The following is a 26222-nucleotide window of genomic DNA, read 5'->3' as shown; positions in this document are numbered from 1 at the left end:
GTAACATTGGGGAAGTAGAATCAAGATTGCTATTTTGTTGTGATTATTTGTGACCCTCTTCCTCAATGAATTGACAGTTTCATGAGAGCAAGAACTCTAACTTATTTGGCATTGTATCCCCACTACCTAACAATAACTAGCACATGTATGTGCTGAGTATGTATTCAATGAGCTGTGGAATAAATGTTGACTGGCTTTTGGAATAAGTAATTGAGATAGTGTTATTTGAGGGGCATTGGCCATCCAAGCCCCGGGACAAGGAGCAGCCAGAGATGCTGGATGTGAGCCTAGCATTTGAGTGACCCTGGCCCAGGGCAGAAGGGACACAGCACACAGCAGCAATCTCTGCCTTCTCACTATCCACTCCCTTTAGCCTGTGCTGGGCAGGCCTTCACCCCTACATCCTATAAAAGCTTTTCACATTTGAGTCACCCACACCCTCATGTCCTTCTCCCCTCTCTCTCTCTCTCTCTCTCTCATTTTACTTAATGTCTCATTAGCATTTGACACAGTTGATCATGCCATTCTTGGAACAGTCTCTTCACTTAACTTCCAGGATACTACTGTCCTGGTTTTCTTCCTACCTTGCTGATGGCTCTTTTCATTCTAGTAATTCTGGCTTAGCTTTCTCTTCCCATTTTTTTAAGAGATGGGGTCTTGCTCTGTCACTTAGGCTGGAGTGTAAGGTATGAACATAGCTCACTGTAGCCTTGACCTCCTGGGCTTACGTGATTCTCCCCTCAGCCTGTCAAACAGCTACAATTAACAGTTTTTAATCAGTGGTTTCCACCTTAGCTGCACGTTAGAATCACTGAGGAGTTTTAAAATTTCTTGATACTCAAACTGAACCCCAGACCAATTAAATCAGATATGTGAAGGATGGGTAGAGGTTCAACATTTAAAAAAAAATCTTCTGGTAATTTCAATGGGCATGGAGTGTTGTAAACCACTTCTGTAAATATTGAAGTTCCTCAGGGCTCAGTCCTTGATCTCTTATACCCTTGATCTCCTTGATATCCCTAGTCCCATGGGTTCCAAAAGCATCTTTATCAGTTGATGTGTAGATCTATACTTCTAGCCCCAGCTTCTCTTCTGAACTATAGATTTATATACACAAGTGTCCTATTTAAGATCTTCAGTAGGATGTAGACATCTCAGATTTAACACGTCCAAACACAAGTCTTTATTTTTCCCTGGCCTCCAAGTCTACTCCTCCAGTGTTCTCCATCCCAACTGATGGTACCATCATTCATTCAGTTATGCCAGGAAGGACACCTGGGAGATATATTTGAGTCATCTCTTTGTCATTCCTTACACCTAATCCATTGCCAAGTCCTGTTGGTTTTATTTCTAAAATTCATTCTGAACCCAATCAGTTCCCATAACCTCTACAGAGCACCACTATGCTCAACCTTACCTGCTCTATAACTCTACCTTTCCAACTGCTTCACCTGACTTCACTGTCATTCCCTTACAGCCCTCTCCTCAAGCAGCAGTTGGCGGGATCTCTGCAAACTTAGATCACATCGTATTTCTCATTCTTTAAAAAAAATCCTTCTGTAACTATTTAGAACAAAATCCAAATTATTTGCTCTGACCCCTGCCTACTGCTCCAACCCATCTGTCATTCTCCCCTTTGTTTGCTGTGCTCCTACTACAAGCCTTTGCCTGGGATGCTCTTCTGCCTAAATCTTCACGACTTGATGTTCACCATTCAGGTGTCTGTTCACATGTCACCTGTTCAGAAAGGTCTTCAGTGGCCTCACTCATCACAGCTAAAATGGTCACCTGGTTGTCCTCTAACTTAACCTTGCTTTATTCTTGTCTTAGCCCTTCTTGCTTTCTGCAACAATGATATTTGCTTATCTGTTTGTTTCTTTGTCTTCCTCCAGTAGAAGGCAGGGACCTTGTCTTGGTTTTTTACGACTGTGTCTCTGGCACCTGGTAGGTTCTTAGTTATTATTTGTTGAATGAATTGTCAAATCCAGAATTGAAGTTCAAACTGATAGTGAGGCAAACTGCACGACCAAGGTGTCAGTGTGGGGTGGATGAGTAATCACAGCACAAGGCACAATTAATCAAAGACTCTATTAAAGGTATTCAGGAAGATTATCTGGGTCAACGCTGGGTAGACTGTCTGTCTCCCCTAAATTACCATTCCTGCTCTAGTTATAGTATCCGAAACTCTTTCATTGGCAATTCAGATTCATGCTTCTATGTTGAAAGATTGTACCTTCTTTTGAATTCTCTTCTAAAATTCAAATATCCTCAGCATATTTCTATTGGCTATAAAATATTAGGGGGAAAAGATGTTCTGAGAGACCAAGAGCAGAGGGGACTAAGAACAGAGAGAAGGCAGATGATGGCCACACGAAGTCATCTTCACTATGCTGTAATGCCTTTGACAGAGCTCTTTGTGGGAATCAGTCCTAGCCTTCAAGAAGCTGTATAGCTAGAGGCCTTAACAACAACAACAACAACAAAAACTTTGTGTGGATCCCCACTGGGACTAGCAACCCCCTAATTTCTCTCTCCCCTACGTAAACTCCAATGCCATTTCTCAATTCCCAGTATAGTTTCTCAAGTATGGAGACTTAACAATTTTGTAGCCTACTTTAAATGCCCTTTGCACTCCTGATTGTTTTTCCATCACAGCAAATCAACCAGCCCTACTTGTTTCCAGAGGAAAGTGGTTCTGTAGCAGGTAATTTTAACATATCCAAACAATATCATATTTTTAAATGATTATTAAAAATGTATACATCTTTAATGTAAAGCAATACATTTTAATAACATTAGAAACAAAACATTTGATTACATTGGTATTTCATCTTGGGTTCCCAGAGAAACAGTCTTAGAGACAGAGATTAGCATGCAGAATACATATTAGGGACTGTATTAGTCTGTTCTCATGTTGGTATGAAGAAATATCTGCAACTGGGTAATTTATAAAGGAAAGAGGTTTAATTGACTCACAGTTCCACATGGCTGGGGAGACCTGAGGAAACTTACAATAATAGTGGAAGGGGAAGCAAACACATCCTTCTTTGCATGGTAGTAGGAAAGAGAAGTGCCTAGCAAAAGGGAGAAAATCTCCTCATAAGACCATCAGACCTCATAAGAACTCGCTCACTATCATGAGAACAGCATAAGGGTAACTGCCCCCCTGATTCAATTACCTCCCACTGGGTCCCTCCCATGACATGTGAGGATTATGGGAACTACAACTCAAGAGGAGATCTCGGTGGAAACACAGCCAAACCATATCGATCCACCCCAGCCCCTTCCAAATCTCATGTCCTCACATTTCAAAACACAGTCATGCCCTTCTAACAGTCCCCCAAAGTCTTAACTCATTCCAGCATTAACTAAAAAGTCCAAGTCCAAAGTCTCTTCTGAGACAATGTAAGTCCTTTCTACCTATGAGCCTGTTAAAATCAAAAGCCTTCTTCTCACAGCTCCACTAGGCAGTGCCCCAGTGGGGACTCTGTGTAGGGGCTCTGACCCCACATTTCTCTCTCACACTGCCTTAGCAGAGGTTTTCCATGAGGGCTACACCCCTGCAGCAAACTTCTGGATATCCAGGCATTTCCATACATCCTCTGAAATCTAGGTGGAGGTTCCTAAACCTTAATTCTTGACTTCTGTACATCTGCAGGCCCAATACCACATGTAAGCTTCTAAGGCTTGAGGCTTGCACCCTCTGAAGCAATGGCCTGAGCTGTACATTGGCCCCTTTTAGCACCAGCTGGAGCTGAATCCGCTGGGATGCAGAGCACCATGTCCCAAGGCTGCATAGAGCAGGGGGTGCCTGGGCCCGGCCCACAAAACCATTTTTCCCTCCTAGGCCTTCAGGCCTGTGATGCAAGGGGCTGCTGTGAAGATCTCTGACATGCCTTGGAGACATTTTCCCCATTGTCTTGGTGATTAACATTCAGCTCCTCATTACTTATGCAAATTTCTGCAGCTGGCTTGAATTTCTCCTCGGAAAATGGGGTTTTCTTTGCTTTTGCATTGTCAGGCTGCAGATTTTCCAAACTTTTTTGCTCTGCTTCCTCTTGAACACTTTGCCACTTAGAAATTTCTTCTGCCAGTTACCCTAAATCATCTCTTTCAAGTTCAAAGTTCCACAGATCTCCAGGGCAAGTGCAAAATTCCGCCAGTCTCTTTGTGTAGCAAGAGTCGCCTTTATTTCAGTTTGCAAGAAGTTCCTCATCTCCATCTGAGACCTCCTCAGCCTGGACTTCATTATCTACATCACTGACAGCATTTTGGTCAAAATCATTCAACAAATCTCTAGGAAGTTCCAAACTTTCCCAGATTTTCTTGTCTTCTGAGCCCTCCAAACTGTTCCCACCTCTGCCTGCTACCCAGTTCCAAAGTCACTTCCACATTTTTGGGTATCTTCACAGAAGCACACCACCCTCTACAGTACCAACTTGCTGTATTAGTTACTCTTTCACATGGCAGCAGGAAGGAGAAGGGGGAAGCCCCTTATAAAGCCATCAGATCTCATGACAGATTACTCTCTCATGATATGTAATATCATGATATGTAATCTCATGATATCATGTAATATGATATGTAATCTCATGATATGTAATCATGATATGTAATCTCATGATATGTAATCATGATATGTAATCTCATGAAAGATTACATATCATGAGAATAGCATGAGGGAAACTGCTCCCATGATTGACTTACCTCCCACAAGTTCCCTCCCACCATACGTGGGGATTTTGGGAATTACAATTCAAGATGATATTGGGGTAAGGGCACAGCCAAACCATATCAGAGACTGCTCGTAGGATCAACATTTGTGGAAGGGAAGGAGGCAGGGCTGGATGGAAGGAAAAGCTGAGTTTACTGCAGTCTCAGCAAAGGCCTCAGCTATTCCCTCAGGAGCTGTAAAGCTAGATGACCCTTCAGAGTTGACTCTCCTCACAGTGAGAAGGCTAGGCGTTTATGGATGCAAGCTGATACTGGGTGACAGTGGTCTGTGACCAAGGATAATTTCTGAAGAGGGCTGACAGCTCAGGGCTGTCTACTGGCAGCACTCCCAGCATCTAGGAAAATAAGTCCTCAGACCTGAAGACAGCATCCATTAAACCTAGTGTTTTCAAATTGATGTCATTTTTTGGTTGCTATTAATAACATTATTCTGGGTGTCTATTGCAAGGCAGTTGGATAAAATTATGTACTAAGAGTCTCCAGTGAGCTGGCTTTGCTGCAAAGGATTCTTTTCTTGTTAGTGTACTTCTTTTTTTTTTTTTTTTTGAGGTAGAGTCTCGCTTTGTCCCCCAAGCTGGAGTGCAGTGGCGCGATCTTGGCTCACTGCAACCTCTGCCTTCCGGGTTCACGCCATTCTCCCGCCTCAGCCTCGTGAGTAGCTGGGACTACACGCGCCCGCCACCACGCCCGGCTAATTTTTTTTGTATTTTTACTAGAGACAGGGTTTCACTGTGTTAGCCAGGATGGTCTCAATCTCCTGACCTCATGATCCGCCTGCCTTGGCCTCCCAAAGTGCTGGGATTACAGGCGTGAGCCACCGTGCCCGGCCTGTACTTCTAAAATACTTTCACTTTTCTACCTCTAATAGGTGTTACCATATGTAGATAAGAGTGTTGTTTTGTTGTTACTGACATTATTGTTCTTATTTAACATCCTATGAGGGATTTACATCATGCACCAGGTCCTGGGATTGCGTCTTAACTATCTGCAATGGTCATTCTGCTTCATGAGAAAGGTAAGATTCGACTCTCATTAATTCTACAGATTCATTTGAATCCAATTCCCAGGACTTTTCTTTAAAATAAACAAACCATATAAACTCCTCAGGTTGGATGGTGTTGGAAGAACTAATTATTTGTGTTTCCCATTACTGTTTTGTCCATGTAGGGACTACAGATTGCAGCACTGAGTAAGTGTAATTGAGAATTAATGTGTTCTGTGGCTCAGAGGTGGAAAATAAAACTGAGGCAGCCCATATGAGGAAAAAGTGGATTCTTGTCATGTAAGTGAGGCCATGAGGACACATGATTGTGGCCTTTATTGCTCAGGCCTGCCCAGTGGATACTAGGAAAAGGACCCTCTTTCTGGTATGTTTTTTCACCCTGGCAAGTTTAGTCTCTGAAATAAAACTAAATTACACCTTAGCTTCTTCATCTTTCTGCAAAAATATGGCCATGAAAGGGCAAGGATGTTATAATTAGCAAATTCTGCATATGTCTGAGCAAGCATTTGGCAAATCATAGATTTTTATTACATATGTTCTACTAGTCTGAAATTATAATTCTGGAGCTTGTAGTTGGTACCAGGTATTTCTTATACCCAACTCCCTCTCACTGCACCACTCCCAGCATCTGGGAATTGTGAGAGGAGAGTTTATCTGATTGTTCACAACTTCAGTTTACTGCTGAGGAGGCTCTCAGTATTTGCCTGGATGGTAATGTGGTTCAGTGGCTCAGCATGTGGATTCTCAAATCCTGGCCTCATCACTTCATAGCTGAATTATCTTAGGCATCCAAGATTAGCTGCTCAGGGTCTTTCTCTTTTCCCCTCTAAAATAGCAGTAATCATAGTACTTATTCCTGGAGTTGTTAAAAGGGTTAAAGTAGATAACAGATGTGAAGTGCTAATAGTACATAATGAAACAAGTACATATTAGGTATTATTATTATTATTTGCTAGGATTCAGTTTACAGGTATAAGGATCACTTGGACAATTTCTGGGGCAAAGAGTAGAGCACCCTGGTCTGGTTAAGCTGAAAATATTTTGTATGCATAAAATTAAGTAAATAAAATACTAATAAAGAAGAATCGTTTTCATGCAGAGTTTAAATCGGTGAAATAATTCCCTCATTAAAGTTAGATGTAACTGAGGGCACAGGATTAGACAGCTTATTGGTAGCAAAGGCAGTATTAACTGTTAAATTGGGGGCAGCTATTGCTGTCAATAAAAGTCCAGGGAGGCCGGGCGCGGTGGCTCAAGCCTGTAATCCCAGCACTTTGGGAGGCCGAGGCGGGTGGATCACGAGGTCAAGAGATGGAGACCATCCTGGCTAACACGGTGAAACCCCGTCTCTACTAAAAAATACACACAAAAAAAAATTAACCGGGCGTGGTGGCGGGCGCCTGTAGTCCCAGCTACTCGGGAGGCTGAGGCAGGAGAATGGCGTGAACCCGGGAGGCGGAGCTTGCAGTGAGCCGAGATCGCGCCATTGCACTCCAGCCTGGGGGACAGAGAGAGACTCCGTCTCAAAAAAAAAAAAAAAAAAAAAAAAAAAAAAAAAAAAAAGTCCAGGGATACGGCCGGATGCGGTGGCTCACGCCTGTAATCTCAGCACTTTGGGAGGCCGAGGTGGGCAGCTCACGAGTTCAGGAGGTCAATACCATCCTGGCTAACGCTGTGAAACCCTGTCTCAACTGAAAATACAAAAAATTAGCCTGGCGTGGTGGCACACGCCTATAGTTCCAGCTGCTTGGGAGGCTGAGGCAGGTGAATCACTTGAATTCGGGAGGCGGAGGTTGCAGTGACCCGATATTGCACCACTGCACTCCAGCCTGGGCGACAGAGCGAGACTCCATCTCAAAAAAAAAAAAAAAAAAAAAAAGTCCAATGATAGTTATTTTTATCAACCATAGAACATACGAATCACTTAAGAAATTTGGCTTTTCTACACCAGAAAGCCTTCCCCAGCTGAGCAGAACAAAATGTCAACTCACTAAACTCATAGCCTGCTTTTCTCATAAGAGAGCATTAATTATATAAATAATATTTTACTTATTTGTTAAACCCTGAAACATGCTTTCAAATTTTGATTTGCTAGCCGTAAGTCCCTATTCTGCTAAGCTATAATTAACTGGGCAGGAGGAATGGGTCTTTCTGAAGCCTAATACATTTCTAGTCCTCCTTTTCCATGTTCTAGGTGCTTTATTTGGGTATATTAGATTTCTATGCTAGAAATTCCTGTGGGTTTTTTTTTTTTATTTTAGAGAAGTGTTTCTTACACATAATATTGCTTTTCCTAATAGAATTTGCTCCATATTTATTCATTCAACAAATATTGAATGCCCACTATGTGCCAGTTAATAGTAGATAGGTGTTCTGAGTGGAGGTAAAAGGAAAATGATTTTTAAAAGAAGGCTAATAGGCAAATATATTAAAATTTTTTTTATTTCATATTTATATGTCTGCATGAACTCAACTCTATGCTACCTTAGCCTTGGGACCACATCTCCATGGTGTTTTGGTAAAATTTCCATGGTCTGTGATATCGTATCATGTATCTACTTGACACATTTGTTGATTGATGGTAAAATATCATCATAATACGGTGGAGACAATGACTCCAAGGGCAATGTGATTACCAGTAAGATAATTTCCTTGTAAGAAGAAAGAACATTTATATAGTTATAAATTCAGCCTGAACAAATGATATAACTCGTGGATGTTTTTCCCCAGCTGTCAAGCTTTAACAAAATTTGAGTGAAGCTTTATTTCTCTAAAAAGAAACACAAGATAGGCAAGATGCAAAGAATGGTCAGAGGGAAGAGGGAAGTTAAAATGAAGGTGATTGCCGCTCTGACATCGTAACTACACTTGTGAAGGCAATGGTAAGTTGCCTGCTGCAAATGGGAATCATTTCTAAGATATAAAATAAAGGTTTTACTGAAAGTATCAGGAAAGTTTAGCATCCAGTAGAAACTGAAACTAATCAAGGTTTCTTAGGTATTTTATATATTGATATTTCATTCTTCTATTTTTTTCTTCCAACTTTGTTACTTCCTTTTACTTAATGAATCTCAGATAATTTACTGTGGTTTTTACCATGAAAGAGAAATGCCAGGGATCCACTTTCTGAATAAGACTGGTAAGTAGGGCTGCATCATGAGCACATTTCAAAAAAAAAAAAAGAAGTAAAATAAAGACATAAAATTTTAACCAACTTTTTTAATTTTAATTTTAATTTTATTTATTTATTTATTCATTTTTGAGACAGAGTCTCGTTCTGTCGCCCAGGTTGGAGTGCAGTGGCGCGATCTCGGCTCACGGCAAGCTCTGCCTTCCGGGTTCACGCCATTCTCCTGCCTCAGCCTCCCGTGTAGCTGGGACTACAGGCGCTCACCACCATGCCCGGCTAATTTTTTGTATTTTTAGTAGAGACGGGGTTTCACCGTGTTAGCCAGGATGGTCTCGATTTCCTGACCTCGTAATTTGCCCACCTCGGCCTCCCAAAGTGCTGGGATTACAGGTGTGAGCCACCATGCCCGGCCTCAACCACCATTTTAAGTGTACAGTTCAGTGGCATCAAGTACGTTCACATTGCTGTGCAGCCATCACCATTGTCCATCTCCAGAACTCTTTTCATCTTGAAAAACTGAAACTCTGCAACCCATTAAACAATAATGGGTTCCTGGCCGGGCGCAGTGGCTCACGCCTGTAAATCCCAGCACTTCGGAAGGCCCAGGCGTGCGGATCACGAGGTCAGGAGATCGAGACCACCTTAGCCAACATGGTGAAACCCTGTCCCTACTAAAAAAAAAAAAAAAAAAAAAAAAGCCGGGCGTGGTGGCCAGCGCCTGTAGTCCCAGCTACTCGGGAGGCTGAGGCAGGAGAATGGTGTGAACCCGGGAGGCGGAGCTTACAGTGAGCCGAGATCGCGTCACTGCACTCCAGCCTGGGCGACAGAGCAAGACTCCGTCTCAAAAATAAATAAATAAATAAAATAAAAATAAATAAATAAATAAATAAATAAATAAATAAATAAATAATTCCCCCGTCCTTACTCTACCACAGCTTCAGGCAACCACCATTTTACTCTATGTCTCTACGGATTTGGCTGCCATAAGTGCCTCACGTAAGTGGAATCATGACGTATTTGTCTTTTTGTGACTGGCTTATTTCACTTATTTTCATGTCATTAAGGTTCATCCATGTTATAGCATGTGTCAGAATTTCCTTTCTTTTAAAAGCAGAATAATATTCCTCTGTGTGTGCGTGTGTGTGTGTGTACTTCTATTTATTGTCTATATACACTTGGGTTGTTTCTACCTTTTGGCTATTGTGAATAATGCTACTATGAACGTAGGTATACAAGTATCTCTTTGAATCTCTGCTTTCAGTACTTTTGAGTGTATACCCAGAAGTAGAATCACTGGATCATATGAAAATTATGCTTAAGTTTTTAAGGAGTTATCATGTAGTTTTCCACAGTGGCTGTGCCATTTTACATTCCTAACAGTGCAAAAGTGTTCCAATTTCTCCACTTCCTCATCTATGCTTGTTATTTTGTTTTTTATAATAGTCATTCTAATCAGTAAGTGATAGTATCTCATTGTACTTTTGATTCGCATTTTCCTAATGATTCTGAGCATCTTTCCATGTGCTTTTTGACCACCGTGTCTTCTCTGGAAAAATGTCTATAGAAGCCTTTTACCCATTTTTTTCCATCAGTTGTTTCTCTTTTTGTTGTTGAGCTGCAAACGTTCTTTATATATTCTGATAACCCCTTATTAGATATATCATTTGTAAATATTTTCTCCCATACAGTAGGTTGCCTTTTACTCTGTTGACTATGTCTTTTGGTATACAGAAATTTTAATATTTGATGTAACGGATCTATTTTTTCTTTTGTTGACTTCCATTTTGGTGTAATATCCAAGAAATCATTGCCGAACTAAATGTCATTAATCTTTACCCTATATTTTCTTCTAAGAGTTTTATACTTTTAGCTGTTATGTTTAGCTATTTGATCCATTTTGAGTAAATTTTTGTATATGGTACTGTAAGGTAAGGGTCCAACTTCAGTCTTTTGCATGTGGCAGGTGTAGTTTTACCTAAAGTTCCACAGATGTTTCTGGTTTGAGAACCACTGTGTTATGCTAGTGATATCCAGCCAGTTCCCTCTTCCAAAGATCATATGATGCATGTGTTTTTTTAAAAAGAAATTGATGAAGGGGCCATGCACAGAAACTATTTTTGTACAAAATTCACATATGCTAACCAGATTATGTTTGCTATTTCAGGTTTATTTAAAATGTGAAATAACTGCTGCCCACACTGATGACATTCTCATATTTTTTCTGCTTTTTCTCCATCTACTAATTGTCTCAGATATCTCAAACAAACAGCAAGAAAAAGATCAAGCCAATAAACAGGCATTTGAAAAGTGGCCCTGGGTTAGTTACATAGTTGCGTCCTGGAACAACAACAACAAATCCTCCTGGGGGCTATATCTGCATCATAGCCTCACAGTGCTCTCTAAATAAAGCTTCTCTAAAAATGAGCTCACAATCTAAAATTACAAAATCTAGAGGAAATAACCATCAACTGTGAGTGTTGGCAGAAAAATCTAACAGCAAAATTAGACATTTGAGAGTTTTATATAATGAACTTATCAAATACAATACACTTTGTTTAATCTGATTAAGGAAAAATAAAAATTATAAGAAAGATAAATGTATTTCTACTTTAATATAGTATATTTTAGAATCAACATGCTCAAGGTAAATTGAGCTAGAAAACTTTCTTTCCAGATTACAAGCCTACTCCCCATCCCCCAAAATAACTAAGAATATTATTAGAATTATTGCAGTGGAGATTAATTTATTAATGAGTAAAACCTATGAGTAAGACCTCTGAATAAAATAAATTGATAAAGTTAAATTCCCAAGGCAAGAAAGTGGCTCTATCTTAGAGCTTTCAGAAACAGACGCACCCTGCCAATACCTTAATCTTTGCCTAATAAGGTCTAGGTTTGACTCCTGAGCTACAGAACTGTAAGATAATCAAGTTGTGTCATTTTAAGGTATTAAAAAATTGAATTCCCATTTAGGATGAAAACTCTTCATAAATATGGGGAAACGGGGAATAAAACACCTACAGCATGAAAAGCAGTTTATAGCATGCAACCTTTATACTACTACATGTACAGTATGATCTCCTTTCATTAAAAAGTAAATATATATGTATATACTGTAACTCTCTAAGGTGTTAACTGTAATCTCTGAGTGATAGAAACATAGCATTTTTAAAAATATTTAGGTATCTATATAGCCTAACTTTCCACAATGCACATATATTGCTTTTCAATAATAAAAGAAAAAACAAAACTACAGCAAACATCATACTTCATAATGAGATGTCAAACATATAAGTCAAAAATACACCTATTAATTCTTCTATTTATCATTTTCTTATAGGTTCCAGCTAGCCCAATGAGGGAAGAAAAAAACTTAAAATGGAGTAAGAGGAAGGAAAAGGACAATAATAAAAAACTCAAGCAGAACAGAGCCCTCAGAAATAATGCCGCATATCTACAACCATCTGATCTTTGACAAACCTGAAAAAAAAAGAAATGGGGAAACGATTCCCTATTTAATAAATGGTACTGGGAAAACTGGCTAACTGTATGTAGAAAGCTGAAACTGGATCCCTTCCTTACACCTTATACAAAAATTAATTCAAGATGGATTAAAGACTTAAATGTTAGACCTAAAACCATAAAAACCCTAGAAGAAAACCTAGACAATACCATTCAGGACATAGGCATGGGCAAGGACTTCATGTCTAAAACACCAAAAGCAATGGCAACAAAAGCCAAAATTGACAAATGGGATCTAATTAAACTAAAGAGCTTCTGCACAGCAAAAGAAACTACCATCAGAGTGACCAGGCAACCTACAGAATGGGAGAAAAATTTTGCAATCTACTCATCTGACAAAGGGCTAATATCCAGAGTCTACAATGAACTCAAACAAATTTACAAGAAAAAAACAAACAACCCCATCAACAAGTGGGCAAAGGATATGAACAGACACTTCTCAAAAGAAGACATTGATGCAGACAAAAGACACGTGAAAAAATGCTCATCATCACTGGCCGTCAGAGAAATGCAAATCAAAACCACAATGAGATACCATCTCACACCAGTTAGAATGGCAATCATTAAAAAGTCAGGAAACAACAGGTGCTGGAGAGGATGTGGAGAAACAGGAACACTTTTACACTGTCGGTGGGACTGTAAACTAGTTCAACCATTGTGGAAGTCAGTGTGGTGATTTCTCAGGGATCTAGAACTAGAAATACCATTTGACCCAGCCATCCCATTACTGGGTATATACCCAAAGGATTATAAATCATGCTGCTATAAAGACACATGCACACGTATGTTTATTGTGGCACTATTCACAATAGCAAAGACTTGGAACCAACCCAAATGTCCAACAATGATAGACTGGATTAAGAAAATGTGGCACATATACACCATGGAATACTATGCAGCCATAAAAAATGATGAGTTCATGTCCTTTGTAGGCACATGGATGAAGCTGGAAACCATCATTCTCAGGAAACTATCGCAAGGACAAAAAACGAAACACCACATGTTCTCACTCATAGGTGAGAATTGAACAATGAGAACACATGGACACAGGAAGGGGAACATCACACACCAGGGCCTGTTGTGGGGTGGGGGGAGGGGGGAGGGAGAGCATTAGGAGATATACCTAATGTTAAATGACGAGTTAATGGGTGCAGCACACCAACATGGCACATGTATACATATGTAACTAACCTGCATGTTGTGCACATGTACCCTAAAACTTAAAAGTATATTAAAAAAAAAACTCAAGCCAGTTTACAGATAAATGATTAGAACTTAAAATGAAGTTCAGCAAGATTAGCGGATATAAAGTTGACATACAGAAATCATTTGCATTCTCAAGACACCAGCAAAAACAGAAACTTAAGTTTGAAAAAGATACAGTGGTGGACATCTACTTGCCCCTCCAGATTTCCCTCCACCCTTCTCTACACTGGTGGTGCCTTGGAAGACTGGCTGGCAACTAACTGTCTGTCTTGCTCTTTGAGCTCTCATTGGGTTTAGCTTGTGGTTGCATCATCAGAAGATCCAATGAAGGAAGAAAAGAAGATGAGGTTTGTGTTGCCTCAACTGTCCCTCTGAGGTTGTTCTTGGTGAGCTGCATCCTTTGACCAAAGTTCACAGCTGCCATCAAAGGGGTCTCTTCACATAGCTCTTTCTATCTTTGGGCTCTAGAAAAGTGCCTTCTCCCCTTTCCCTTAGACTCAGGAGTAGTGATATTTCCCCAAAGTTACTGGCTCCTGGGTACTGTACAATTCCTGCTGATCTCCTTAAACCTCGTCTGCATCTTTTTAAATGACTCACTTTGAGGGTACTGTTTCCTGTTTCGACCCCAAATAATAATATAGATATTATTTATGACAGCAACAAATAATTTAAAATATCTAGGAATAAATCTAACAAAAAAGCATGAAATCTTTATAGAGAAAATTATAAAACTTAAAAGACATTTTTAAAAGACAAAATAAAGATGCACCGTGTACATGAATAGAATTTAAATTGTTTGGCTTTTTAAAAGTTGATACATAAATTCAATTAAATTCCAATAAAGTTCTCAACAGTTTTTTCCATGAAACTTGACAAGGAAAATCAAAATTTATATAGAAGAATAGAGGGCAAAGAATAGCCAAAAATGTTCAGAAGAACAAATTAAGGTCTTGCTCTACAAGGTAGCAAGTATTATTATAAACAGATCATAATTAAAACAGTATGAAATCAGTACATTATAGATTAATAGGGAGAGATAGTGGTGCAGGGACCTTGTTATCCATATGGACAAAAGAGTAATAAAATTGGACACCTACCTCACATTATCCAAAATAAATCCCAGGTGAATTAAAGGTGTATTATGAAAAGCTTTATGATCTGAGATTAGTAAATGATTACTGAAGGCAAAAAGCAGAAAACATAAAATGATAAATTTGACTATATTAAATTTAAAGTTTCTGTGCATTAATAGACATTTTAGAGAAAGTAAAAATATAAGTCATAGCTTGTCAAAGACAAAGTAGATGTACATGTACTACAGTGGAATATTCTCACAAACATGGTGTCTAAAGAGATTTGCAGAAATATGACTCCATCTTATTACAGCATGCAAAATAGTATCACATATCTCTTACAAGTTGAAAGTATAAAGGCATGCACAAGAATGATAAACACTATTAAATACAGTACAATGTTATCTCTGGGTGGAAGAAATGAGACAGGAGAGGTGCTCTGATGCACAGAGCCAGGTTCCACATTTTTTCTTGTGTCAGATTATGGATACATGGGTGTTTATATTATTCTTCTCACCTTTCTGTATGTCAGAGATATTATTGGTGCAAATAAACATGACACAGAAGTAGAAACTGGATATTGGAAATCAAAGTTCAATAAACTAGAACTTTTGAGATTTAATTTTTAAATCTAAAGTAGATATGAACTATAATATTTAAGAGAAACATAGAAAATATCAGTACTGCTTAAATACATAAGCATTAAAAGGAGTGCATGGGCTGGGCATGGTGGCTCATGCCTGTAATCCCAGCACTTTGGGAGGCCAAGGCAGGCAGATCACTTGTCGTAAGGAGGTCGTGACCAGCCTGGCCAACATGGTGAAACCACATCTCTACCAAAAAACACAAAAATTAGCTGGGCATGGTGGCAGGTGCCTGTAGTCCCAGCTACTCGGGAGGCTGAGGCAGGAGAATCACTTGACCTGGGAGGTGGAGGTTGCAGTGAGCCTAGATCACGCCACTGCACTCCAGCCTGGGCAACAACTCCATCTCAAAAAAAAAAAGAAAAAAAAAAGGGAGGATATGATGAGATACTTCTCTATTAACTGGAAATCCAAACTGATTTTTTTTTACTAAAAAATTTGCTAGAAAATAAACCAACATGTCTTTCTATTAATAATTCAATGTTGACCCAAGTACAGGTAAAGGCAAGGGAAGGGAAGGCAGGCAGAAAGCCAAAGAAAAATAAAGAGAACATAATGGAATTAGATAAAGTAGACGTGGGCAGAATTAAATTCCCTGATCACAGATATCCTTGAGAATTTCAGAAATTGGTGAAGAACTTCCTAAAACCACTGTCATTTCATAAAACTCTAGCAGAGTGCCTGCTGAGGTTCTGAATACTAGGGGGGAGGGGGGCGGTGGGGGGAAGTCAGTACAACTTTTTTTAAATAGAAAAGAATGGTTTAAGTATTACAATGTGTCTATCAGGTCAAATTTCTTGGCCTGAAAGCTTTTGAACCTTTTGTGAAAGCATTAATTTGCAATCTTAAAAAATAATGTTGGACTTAAAATCAACATGAGTTGGTGAAGATTAAAATCTGTCAGTTTAATCTAATTTTCTTCTATGACAGGTCTGTTAAAGGGCAGCGACAGTGTAATTAATTGCTTGAGGCTCAGAAACCCAATTAATCTCTAAGTTGACTTTTATTTCACAGAATGTTAGTGCTACATGAGGCCTCAAGGATATTCTACCCTATCCTCTTCATTTTATAGAAGAGGAAATAGACATCAGGGAGGTTAAATGACTTGTTCAAGGTCAAAGATACTGTCTATTCTTGCCACCGTACCCTATAAATTGATTCAGTATTGCATCCTTAAAGCTTGTATGAGTTTCTGTGTTTCTGATCATGACATACTATTTGAACACAGATGGTTCTTTTGTTATAGTCTTTTATAAAATACCTGGACATTCATCTCACGAATGTTTTCTTGTAAGGGTTTTCAAGCCTCAGTTTTTAAAATTTGAAACATTTTCCATACTCTTTATGCAGTAACAGTTGTAAAAAGGGAGTGGGGAAGAACTGTGTCCTAATTTGCATACTTAGCAGGCGAACTCTGGGAAGGAGATGCAGTAGGTGTTTTGCCTTAAGTGGGATGTTGGGAAACAGGGATTGCAGTTTGACCGTGTGAGTGATGTCTAATCCAGGTGGTACTTGCAGGCCATGCCATCCCTCAAGGATTCTATGTGTCTGATTCCAAGATGTGGGCAGAAAATCTAGCATGTAGAGTATTTTTAGAGAAGAGCTCAGTGAGGCAGCAATAATAACAAATATGATGTATGAGAAGATCAGAGGAAATGAGAGCCACTATCAGTGTGGGAAGCATGGTGGTATGCCATATGTCAGTGTGGCAGCCATGGAAGTGCCCTGCTCAGAATTGTCCTTAGGGGAACCTGCTGCAAGGAAGGTGCTCCTCCCTGAACCTCCAGATGCTACACATTCAGATTTGCTGCTGCGTCCATGCTGAGACCATGCTATCCCCTAAGTACTCCTGGCCAATGCCAGGATATGAGAGCCAGGGCTTTTGACACAACATGGGACATATCTAATGGGAAGTCTTTGCTTGGAGACTTCCCATTAGCCTGGTAGAAACTCTCTCAGAATTGTGCTGCTGCTTGAGGCTCCTTTTTCTTTTCCTCTCTGCTTTTATGAGTTAGATCTATATTATGGTCTCTTTTTCCCCTCCCTCTTTAGCTTTCTTAGGACTTTCTCCAAATAAACCTCTTGACCATCCAATTCCATCCCAGCATTTGCAACTCAGAGGACGCTAACTGATGCAGAGTGTGGCGATTGCCCTGGTCGATGCCAAGGAGGGATAAAAATATACATAACTTGAGTAGGAATTAGGATCTTATTCTGCTGGTGGGGACTGATTAGCAATGGTTTCTCTTTGGTTGTTGTAGTTACCATTATCGCAGTTCCTCATTTATGCTCTCTCATGATGGCACGGCATTAGGATAAATGCATTGTAGTAAAATTTACTTCCAGAGAGAAAAAAAATCCATGTTTTCACAGATTCTAAGACTTTTTTTTTTTGCATTTTAACCTTTCTGAAATTGGGATATCTTTAAATAGATTATTTGCTACAATTTAATTAGTAGGATTGTTTTCTTCTTTACTGATGAATAAAATAATGGTGCATATCATTGATGATGTCATAGATTTGATCAAATTTATCAGCTCAGTTCAGGTCACCAGATGCCAGTTACTATAACAGATTCTAAAGAACTAAGGGGCTGGATTAGGTTTTGTGAATTATTATTTGACTATTTCTTAGGTATATCTACTAGGAAAGGAAAGAAAAACCCTAAGGAACAGAATTATATGGTGGAGAGGTACACAGTTGGTAACTGTTGCTCTGAATACATTAGTAGAGAAATAGCCAGAGAAGCATAAAAAAAATAGGAAGCAAGAATGTCTCTCATCACTTATGGTGCTATTCACTTTTTTACTCTTCCCATTTTCTTTCTTTTTTTTTTTTTTTTTTTTTTTTTTGCTACTTTTATGACTAATGCTGCCTTAGAGGCCACTATTACCTTGTTGTTCAGGTTATTCTGTAATCCTCATAGCAATATCTTATAAAACAAGAGACCTATGATAGGTTAGGTTTTCACTCTATATATTGAACTCCTCATTGATATGTGGACAGAAATCAACAAGTAGAGGACCAAGCAAACTAATTAAGTTTACCCACCATCTCCAGTGGGATGGGTCAGATGGAAGGATCTGTTTCCTTGATTCCTGTCACATGTACCTGTTGATCTAATTGGATTCCTTGGCACTACCTGCTTATAAAATTAGTATTGAAAGTGTTGTTTCCTTTCTCTCCAGATGCTGCCTTTATGCCTGCATCAGTTTTCCCTAGCATTCCCCATACTTCCAAATTAGGAAGTCTCTGCTTCTAACAAAATATCGTTGTTATTGCTGATATGGACACAAATCAGCAAGTACTGGATACCTAATACAATTTAGTAATTGTCATTATTGTTCTATAAATACTATGTAGAACATATATTGTATAATATTCTATGAGCACATCGCATTTCATTATGTATAAATTGTTATATCATCTACGATACTGTTAACATGATATCTTTTATTACAGTCAGAGTAATTAATTGTAATACAAATTTTAATAAAACAAAGCTGGGTTTGCCTAGGAAAGAGTAAATGAGGAATCACTTTGGTTTACTACTCTATAATTATTGGAAGGATTGGTACAATTAGTTGAAAATACTTCAAATATGTCTGATTCAGTGATTCTTTGAAAAAATTATTTGGAGTGGAGTGATGCCATTGACATTGTGGGAAAAATTCTTAAAATGTGAACTTTGCTATAATTCAAAGAGGTATCTTCCTAAGATTGAGAAAGAGAGGCAATATGGTCTAACTCATTTTCAAAACTTTCTGACCTTCACCCTTAGTAAGATACATATTTTACATCGTGACCCAATATATACATTCTATCTATCTATTGATAGGTCAATCAATCATCTATCTAGAACTAAAAAGTGTCACAAAACAATACCTAGTTAACTAGATTTGATGCACTCTATATTTTCTGGGCTATTCTATTCCATTTCTTTTTAAATACTGTTTGTGATCCATAGTTTGAAAAATGCTGGATTCATGAAAAATGAGCTAGGAGACAGACTTCGTACAAATCTCTGTCCCATGATTACCCCTTTCTACGAGCTTGCCTAGTTAATTCTTTCCTTTGAATCTTGTTTTCTTCATCTATAAAGTGAATGGGGTTGTTTTACTAAGTAAAGACAATTACATGTGAAGTGATTGGCACGTAAGAGGCACTCAATAAATCAATAAATGATAAGGTAGCAGGATAATGTTTTCTAATATTAATCAAGTGTTTTCCACTACATTTCCTTACGCGCTTTGTCGTCTATTATGAAGGCAAGGTTGTTACAGAACTGCTAGACTGTTCTTACCTGTTTGGTCTTTCAGTTAATTGATTCAGTGTCTCTTTCTCTTTCTCTGTCTCTCTCCCTCCCTCCCAGACATCTGTCAGCAGTCCAACAGTCCAAGCAGGGTCCAAGGACAATGTAGACAGCCCTGGGCCTCTGCCTTACTTCCTGTGCTCACAGCAAGCTTAGCCTCTTTGGCTCTCCCTCCTTGGTGACCACATTCTTTATCTGCTGTTCCCCATGGAGGGCAGCTGTGTTCCTCTTTTTCCCTAGGACCTTAGAGTCAGTGCCCAGCTTCTGAGTGCCCAGTTATTCTCCTTTCCCAAGATGCTGCTGCTCAGGTTTTCCACAGTTTGCCTCTTCTGGGCTGGCCCCTCTGGCCCTCCAGACACACTTCTCTAGGTACATAGCTGATATGCCACAATTTAATTAGCCATTCCCTAAACACTGCATGTTTAGATCACCCATTTTTGTGGTGTTTTGTTTTTGTTTTTTTGCTAAATTAGAAAATTTTGCAATAAATAAAATCGTGCCTTTAGTCGTTTAAAATTTTTGGTCTGGTTAAGTTTTCACTAGAAAAATTGCCATAAATATATCAAATGTCATCAAATTTGGTACCTTTTTAAAGTTAAGAAATGAAAAAAATCCATATAAACATAGTTTACACATGTATATATCTCTATATAAATATAGGTATATATGTATACTTTTCTTTTTACCAATAAGAGCTTATATAATTCAGAAGGGGATTCCTCCACTCTTCATGATGAATTTAATATGGTCATCTTTACTTCACCGCTAGCCAAATTACAGTCTCTGTGCATCATATAACAAATTCCTAATGACATCACAAGTTATTTGACATCACAAATTCTGTATTCCATTCCTATATACATAATATGTAGATGCCAGTCTTCTATTTTACTACTCATTTACAAATAGTGGCTTTTCAATAAAATTACCCAGGTAAATTTTTATTCATATCTACAATGAATAAGCATTCTTTCTGTGTAGTGTTCTCAACCCTAGAAATCAATATATTACAATTCTGTAGTTCTTTCTCAGTGTTATGCTAGAATTCATGAAGTCAGCAATCTCCTATTCCTGTAGACATAGTGAAGATGCAAGAGCAAAAGTGAAAGTGAGAGACGAGGAACGAAAGACATCCACTAAGCCTGGGTTTCAGTGAGCTCACCAACCATTTCTTCATGTCTCTTTACCCCTAACAATTATTTAGCACTTGATCACATCATCACACAGTCCATATGATTCCCAGATTATGGTGGCTAAAATATCCAGAAACAGATTTTCTTGTCTTAATGAAACAATCAAATTCAATATATGGAAGTTAGCCTATTCTGCATCAACCAGAAAGTAGTCACTTCCTAACTGCATATGACAGACAGAAAAAGTACTAAAGGAAGTTATATACAATGAAACCATTAAATGCAGATTTGCCACAAGGCAAGATGGTAATACTTGAACATTATGAAGTGCAGAAACTGCACAAGCACATTATATTTTAAACACTTCATCTATTTAACAAACTATGTACCCTCTTCAGCTAAATAAGATGAATTGAGATTCAAGAGGCAGCACCATACTAGCAAATCTCATCCTAAAGGCATCCATTAATATAAATCAACAGCAGCAATTTGGTTTGATCACTTATTTGCAAGAATCATTAAGGTTTATTAGCATAATTGTTCCCTCTGGGATTTCATGTCGAGAAAATGAAGAATGGCATTATCAATATTTAAAAGATAAGTGTGTAATGTTCAGAGTATTTCAACAGTCATCTGCAGGTGGTGTCCAGCTGCAGCAAATTAGATTAGATTTGGGCATTTTTCTGAACGAAAGAAAAATTGTTTTGTTCTAATTGCTTTATTTTATAAAGCAATACCATTTCGTAAATAATTTTTACTGTATAGCTACACTTAACAGTGCACATCTATTAACATGCTTTATTTCAGATCAGCAACTCTGTTAAGTTCAACCCTGTTATATTGTAACTACTGGGGGACATTAATCAGTATAATTCATCATCCATTATAAGGAAAAGCTCCTTCCCCTCAGTACTCTAGACATTTTAGTCTAGACTTGTAGGTAAAAAGTTGTTTTCTAGAGGGAAATGAACGAGAAGACTTCCTTGTAATGTTGGGAAGGCATAAGTCCTCCCTTAACAATGAAGTATCATTTATGATAGTAATAATTTATTACTAGAAATAATATTTAAATGTAATAATTGTTTTTTAATAATGACATGCAATGGAATGTTATTTAGTGATAAAAATAAATGAGCTATCAAGTCACATAAAGATTTGCAGGAACCTTTAAATGAGTTTTGCTAAGGGAAAGATGCCGGTCTGAAAAGGCTACATACTGTATGATTCCAAAGATACGACATTCTGGAAAAGGCAAATCTATAGAAACAATAGAAAGATTAGTGGTTCCCAGGGGTTTGGGAGGAAGGAGTGAGGGAGAAATGAATAGGTAGAACACAGAGACTTTTTAGGCAGTGAAACTATTCTGTATGATACTGTAATAATAGATATATGACAATATGTCTCAATTTTCTGACCTCAAGCAACCTTCTTGCCTCAGTCTCCCAAGTAACTGGGATTACAGGTGCAAGCCACCACTCCTGGCCAGATACATGACATTATGTATTTCTCAAAACCCACCTGGGAGCAGTGGCTCATGCCTATACTCCCAGCACTTTGGGAGGCCAAGGTGGGTGTATGACTTGAGGTCAGGAGTTCAAGACCAGCCTGGCCAAACTGGTGAAACTCCGTCTCCACTAAAAATACAAAAATTTGCTTGTAGTCTCAGCTACTTGGGAGGCTGAGGCAGGAGAATCGCTTGAACCTGGGAGGTAGAGGTTGCAGTGAGCCGAGATCATGTCACTGCACTACAGACTGGGCAACATAGCCAGACTTCATCTCAGAAAAAAAACAAAACAAATCCTCATAGACCTGTACAAAACAAAGAGTGAACCCTAATGTCAATTACGAACTTAATCATATTAATATTGGTTCGTCAAGTGTAACAAATGTACTACACTAATATGTAATGCTAAAAATAGGGGAAATTGTATGGGTGCGGTGGGGAGGAGAGGTGAGACGGGGAATTCTCTGTATTCTGTCAATTTTTCTGTAAACCTAAAACTGCTTCGAAAAAGGAGCAAAGTCTATTAAAAATGTAGTAATTGTTAGGATAATTTTTTAAAGGTTAAAATCAGCTAATTGTTACAATTGATTAAATTTGTCTTGGATTTAGGTCAATATTCTGGCCAAAAATCTTTTTCTCAGATTACCTATGAAATTATATGAATCCTTCTACCATATCCAAGGGTATACTGGAAATGAGGAATTATAACTGAAGTTCCCTTTAGAGACGAAAGTCTTCATTTCGAGAAGTAAACAGTAAAAAACATACATGTTTGCTGAAATACTTTGCAATGTCACTATTTCACTATTAGGAATTAACAAATTAAACCCCACACTCTATTGAATGTGTTATACCCTGTTCAACCCTGAACCCATGCCTGTCTCCTGTCTCTTCTATACAGTGCCCAACCCTTTGCGGAGATGGATATGCCAAGAAGAGAAATTTATAGCAGGCTGCCTGCTTTGCTCCATTCCAGATCAATTTACACAGAACACCCAGAGGGCAGGTTTACGCCTTCTCTCCATTTCTCTCAAACAGTGATGGCAATGAGTGGAGTACTAGAGACAACATAGATATGCAACCACGGGATAAATGACCAAAGGACAGAGAGACGAGCGACCTCAGTTGTATGATGGAACCAAGAGAAGTCGCTGATTTTTAGTTGTTTTGATCTGGTTGTAAGGATGGGGTGACAACTTCCAAGCTTTTACACGTCAGCACTGAAACTGCAAGTCCCATTTGTTATTAATCTTTAAGCAGACATATTGCTACAGAAGACGGACTCCAAATTAGAATAACACAAAGTTATACCACTAATCACCTTATACAAATATTTTAGTGTTGACAAGATTTCTCTGAATGTATCATTTCTAAAATCAGTATATCTAATTTCTCTGATCCATTATCATTCTTAAACTTCCCATTTAAAATGGACTTTAGTGTCTAACCTGCCTATGGAATGAACCAGATCAACATCCTGCCATCATGTAACGTGCTCTCTCTTGGTACCTGGACCACATAGCAGAGTAAGATTCATGTGGCTCATAGATTTTAGTCCCAAAATTTACCAGCAGCTTCTGCGGGGGGGGGGGGGGGGCGGGGGGGTGAAGTGAAGGCTGCTGGAAGCTCGTGCTACCCTCAGTGCCTCACAACCCAGCAAAGGGGACAGCGACCTGGACTCCCATTGCTGAGGATTAAACCAGTCATCGTCCCTAGCAGAGACCTGGCTGACTAGGCACTTAGTGTGCGGGATGCTCCATGCGTGGAAATTTCCTTCGGCTCCATGCATTAGGCAGTAGTTTGCGTATTTCTCTGTGCGCAGTCTCCACAGTCCCGAACTTGGCTCCCAAACCCACTGAAACCACAGTTCGGCCGCTGGAGGGAAATCGAGCTTCCCTAGCCCACTGCAAAGTGCTTGGGTCAGGCCACAGTCTGAACTTCCCGCTTTTCTAGTTTAGACCTATAGAAGTAGCCCTCCTGCCCTGGTCCTAAGAAGCTCAATGCCGATTGTATCTTATCGCGTCCAATGGGAGGCCACGTTCTGCGTGGGTCACTTTTGGTCGAGCGGAGGGCGCGCAGCTCCACCGTTGCCAAGACGCCGCGTAAACACCCGAGCGCGCGCAGCCAGGTGCGCTCCTTGGGGCTGCTGGCTGCTGCGTTTGCGGCGGGAGGTGGTGGCCGCGGTCCCACGAGAGGGGGTATTTTTCGTCAGCCAAGATGGTGAGCCAGTTGGGGGACTTGAAACTACTTGTTTATTGTTGATTTAATTCTAGTTTGGCGCTCATCTGCTTCTAAAAAAGGATTTTAAGTGCTTAATCTGGTCATTAATTGGGGAACTTGTATTTGCTTTCGGAGGCTTCAGGTGCTATTAGAAGGGACGCTCGCGGTGGTTTCCAGCTTTTTTGGCACTTTTCGCATAGTGTATTAAATACATCTTTAAATCTGCCCAATAGAACCTCTGAAGAAATAAGTAGATATAAAAGTGTAGGAGAAAGCGAATTGATAAATAGCGGCGAATTGACCTATTACATTTATGTTAGGAAAATCTGACCAGCTTCTGAACAGCACTTTATGGCCCTGTGGTGGTAGTCGTGGTGGTGGTGGTGGTGGGTGGAATGAGGGGAGGAGAAATTCCCTGGTGGTAGTAAAGATCTGGGTCTGTAGGGTGCGATTAATCCTAGCACAGCTATTTATTAGCTGCAGAACCTTGGGTAAAGTTACTTTTCATGTTTCATCTATAAAATAGGTAATAATAACAGTACCTATTTAATCGATATGTGAACATATTTACCACGTTTACTTTTTATTCGGTATACTCCTTTGAATTTAGGAAGGAAGCCAGGCTCTTCGTATCCTTTCTTACTAAGGTTTATATCAATACATTTTTTAAAATTAGATTTTGGAATATCAAAATATGCATCTTTTTTTTTCTTCCATCGTAGGGTTCCAAAAGGAGAAATTTGAGCTGTAGTGAAAGGCATCAGAAATTAGTAGATGAAAACTACTGCAAAAAATTACATGTCCAAGCTCTAAAAAACGTCAACAGTCAAATCAGGAATCAAATGGTGCAGAATGAAAATGATAACCGTGTTCAGCGCAAGCAATTTCTCAGATTATTACAAAATGAACAATTTGAGTTGGATATGGAAGAGGCCATTCAAAAGGTAAGTTTTACTATTCATTGTTACTTTTTTTTTCATTTTGCACCTTGGAAACGATGAAAGTCAGCTGTTAATGCTGGAAATGAGTAGATAAACAACAGCAGCAGGTAAGTGATGCCTGATTGTGCCTCAGCTCGGTGTAATCGTAAAGACCTGGGTTTCTGGAGCCGGCCTGTCTTTGAATCCTACTACTGCTATACCTTAGCTACGGACCCTTGAGTAAGTTGCTTTTACTTTTTTTTTTTTTTGGATGGAGTCTTGCTCTGTCGCCCAGGTTGCAGTGCAGTGGCACGATCTTGGCTCACTGCAACCTCTGCCTCCGGGGTTCAAGCGATTCTTCTGCCTCAGCCTCCTGAATAGCTGGGACTATAGGCGCGCAACACCACGCCTGGCTAATTTTTTAATTTTTAGTAGAGACGGGGTTTCACCATATTGACCAGGCTGATCTCGAACTCCTAACCTCGTGATCCGCCCGCCTCGGCCTCCCAAAGTGCTGGGATTATAGGGGTGAGCCACCGCGCCCAGCCTGCTTTTATTTTTTATGCTTTTTCTATAAAATGGGGAATAAGAATAGTACCTCCTACTTAGGATTGTTTTAATAATGAGTTAATACATGCAAGACTCTTGGAATAGTGCCTGGTACAGAATAAGCACTCAGATTTTTTTTTAACATAAATATGAACTCTGTAATTACTACCAGTTTTGTTCATGTAAGTACAATTGTGTTGCCTTTCATAAATTTCTAAAAACAAAAATTTAGGGGTGCCTTTAAAAAATTTACTGAAATTAATGTATACAT

General features: G+C 39.2%; 1 protein-coding gene and 1 long non-coding RNA gene across 3 annotated transcripts in view, besides 2 other annotated features; both read left to right on the top strand.

Moving 5' to 3' along the window:
- Positions 1-9945, top strand: part of LOC105370832 (uncharacterized) — a 126090-nt gene extending 116145 nt beyond the window's left edge. The window contains exons 1-4 of one of the 2 annotated variants that reach the window (XR_001751770.2): positions 5548-5749; positions 5902-6101; positions 8468-8876; positions 9803-9945. This is a non-coding gene — a long non-coding RNA (uncharacterized LOC105370832). Of the gene's footprint in view, positions 1-5547; positions 5750-5901; positions 6102-8467; positions 8877-9802 lie in introns of those variants that run through there. The other variant, XR_007064649.1, reaches the window with a different exon arrangement.
- Positions 20763-20812: an enhancer, noted in NCBI's record as "active region_9455". NCBI's record gives its function as "activates an Ori minimal core promoter by ATAC-STARR-seq in GM12878 lymphoblastoid cells {active_cell/tissue: GM12878}" and the evidence as "EXISTENCE:reporter gene assay evidence [ECO:0000049][PMID:35858748]".
- Positions 24136-24385: a silencer, noted in NCBI's record as "silent region_6465". NCBI's record gives its function as "represses an Ori minimal core promoter by ATAC-STARR-seq in GM12878 lymphoblastoid cells {active_cell/tissue: GM12878}" and the evidence as "EXISTENCE:reporter gene assay evidence [ECO:0000049][PMID:35858748]".
- The window catches only part of MNS1 (meiosis specific nuclear structural 1), a 36414-nt gene continuing 34506 nt past the window's right edge, over positions 24315-26222 (top strand). The window contains exons 1-2 of the mRNA NM_018365.4: positions 24315-24482; positions 25205-25426. Coding sequence (NP_060835.1) covers positions 24480-24482; positions 25205-25426 — 225 coding nt within the window. The 5' untranslated portion in view covers positions 24315-24479. The remainder of the gene's footprint in view (positions 24483-25204; positions 25427-26222) is intronic.

This window comes from Homo sapiens, chromosome 15 (genome assembly GCF_000001405.40).
Source record: "Homo sapiens chromosome 15, GRCh38.p14 Primary Assembly".
In the NCBI taxonomy this organism is placed as follows: Eukaryota; Metazoa; Chordata; class Mammalia; order Primates; family Hominidae; genus Homo; species Homo sapiens.
This window is presented reverse-complemented; position numbering and strand designations above follow the sequence as displayed.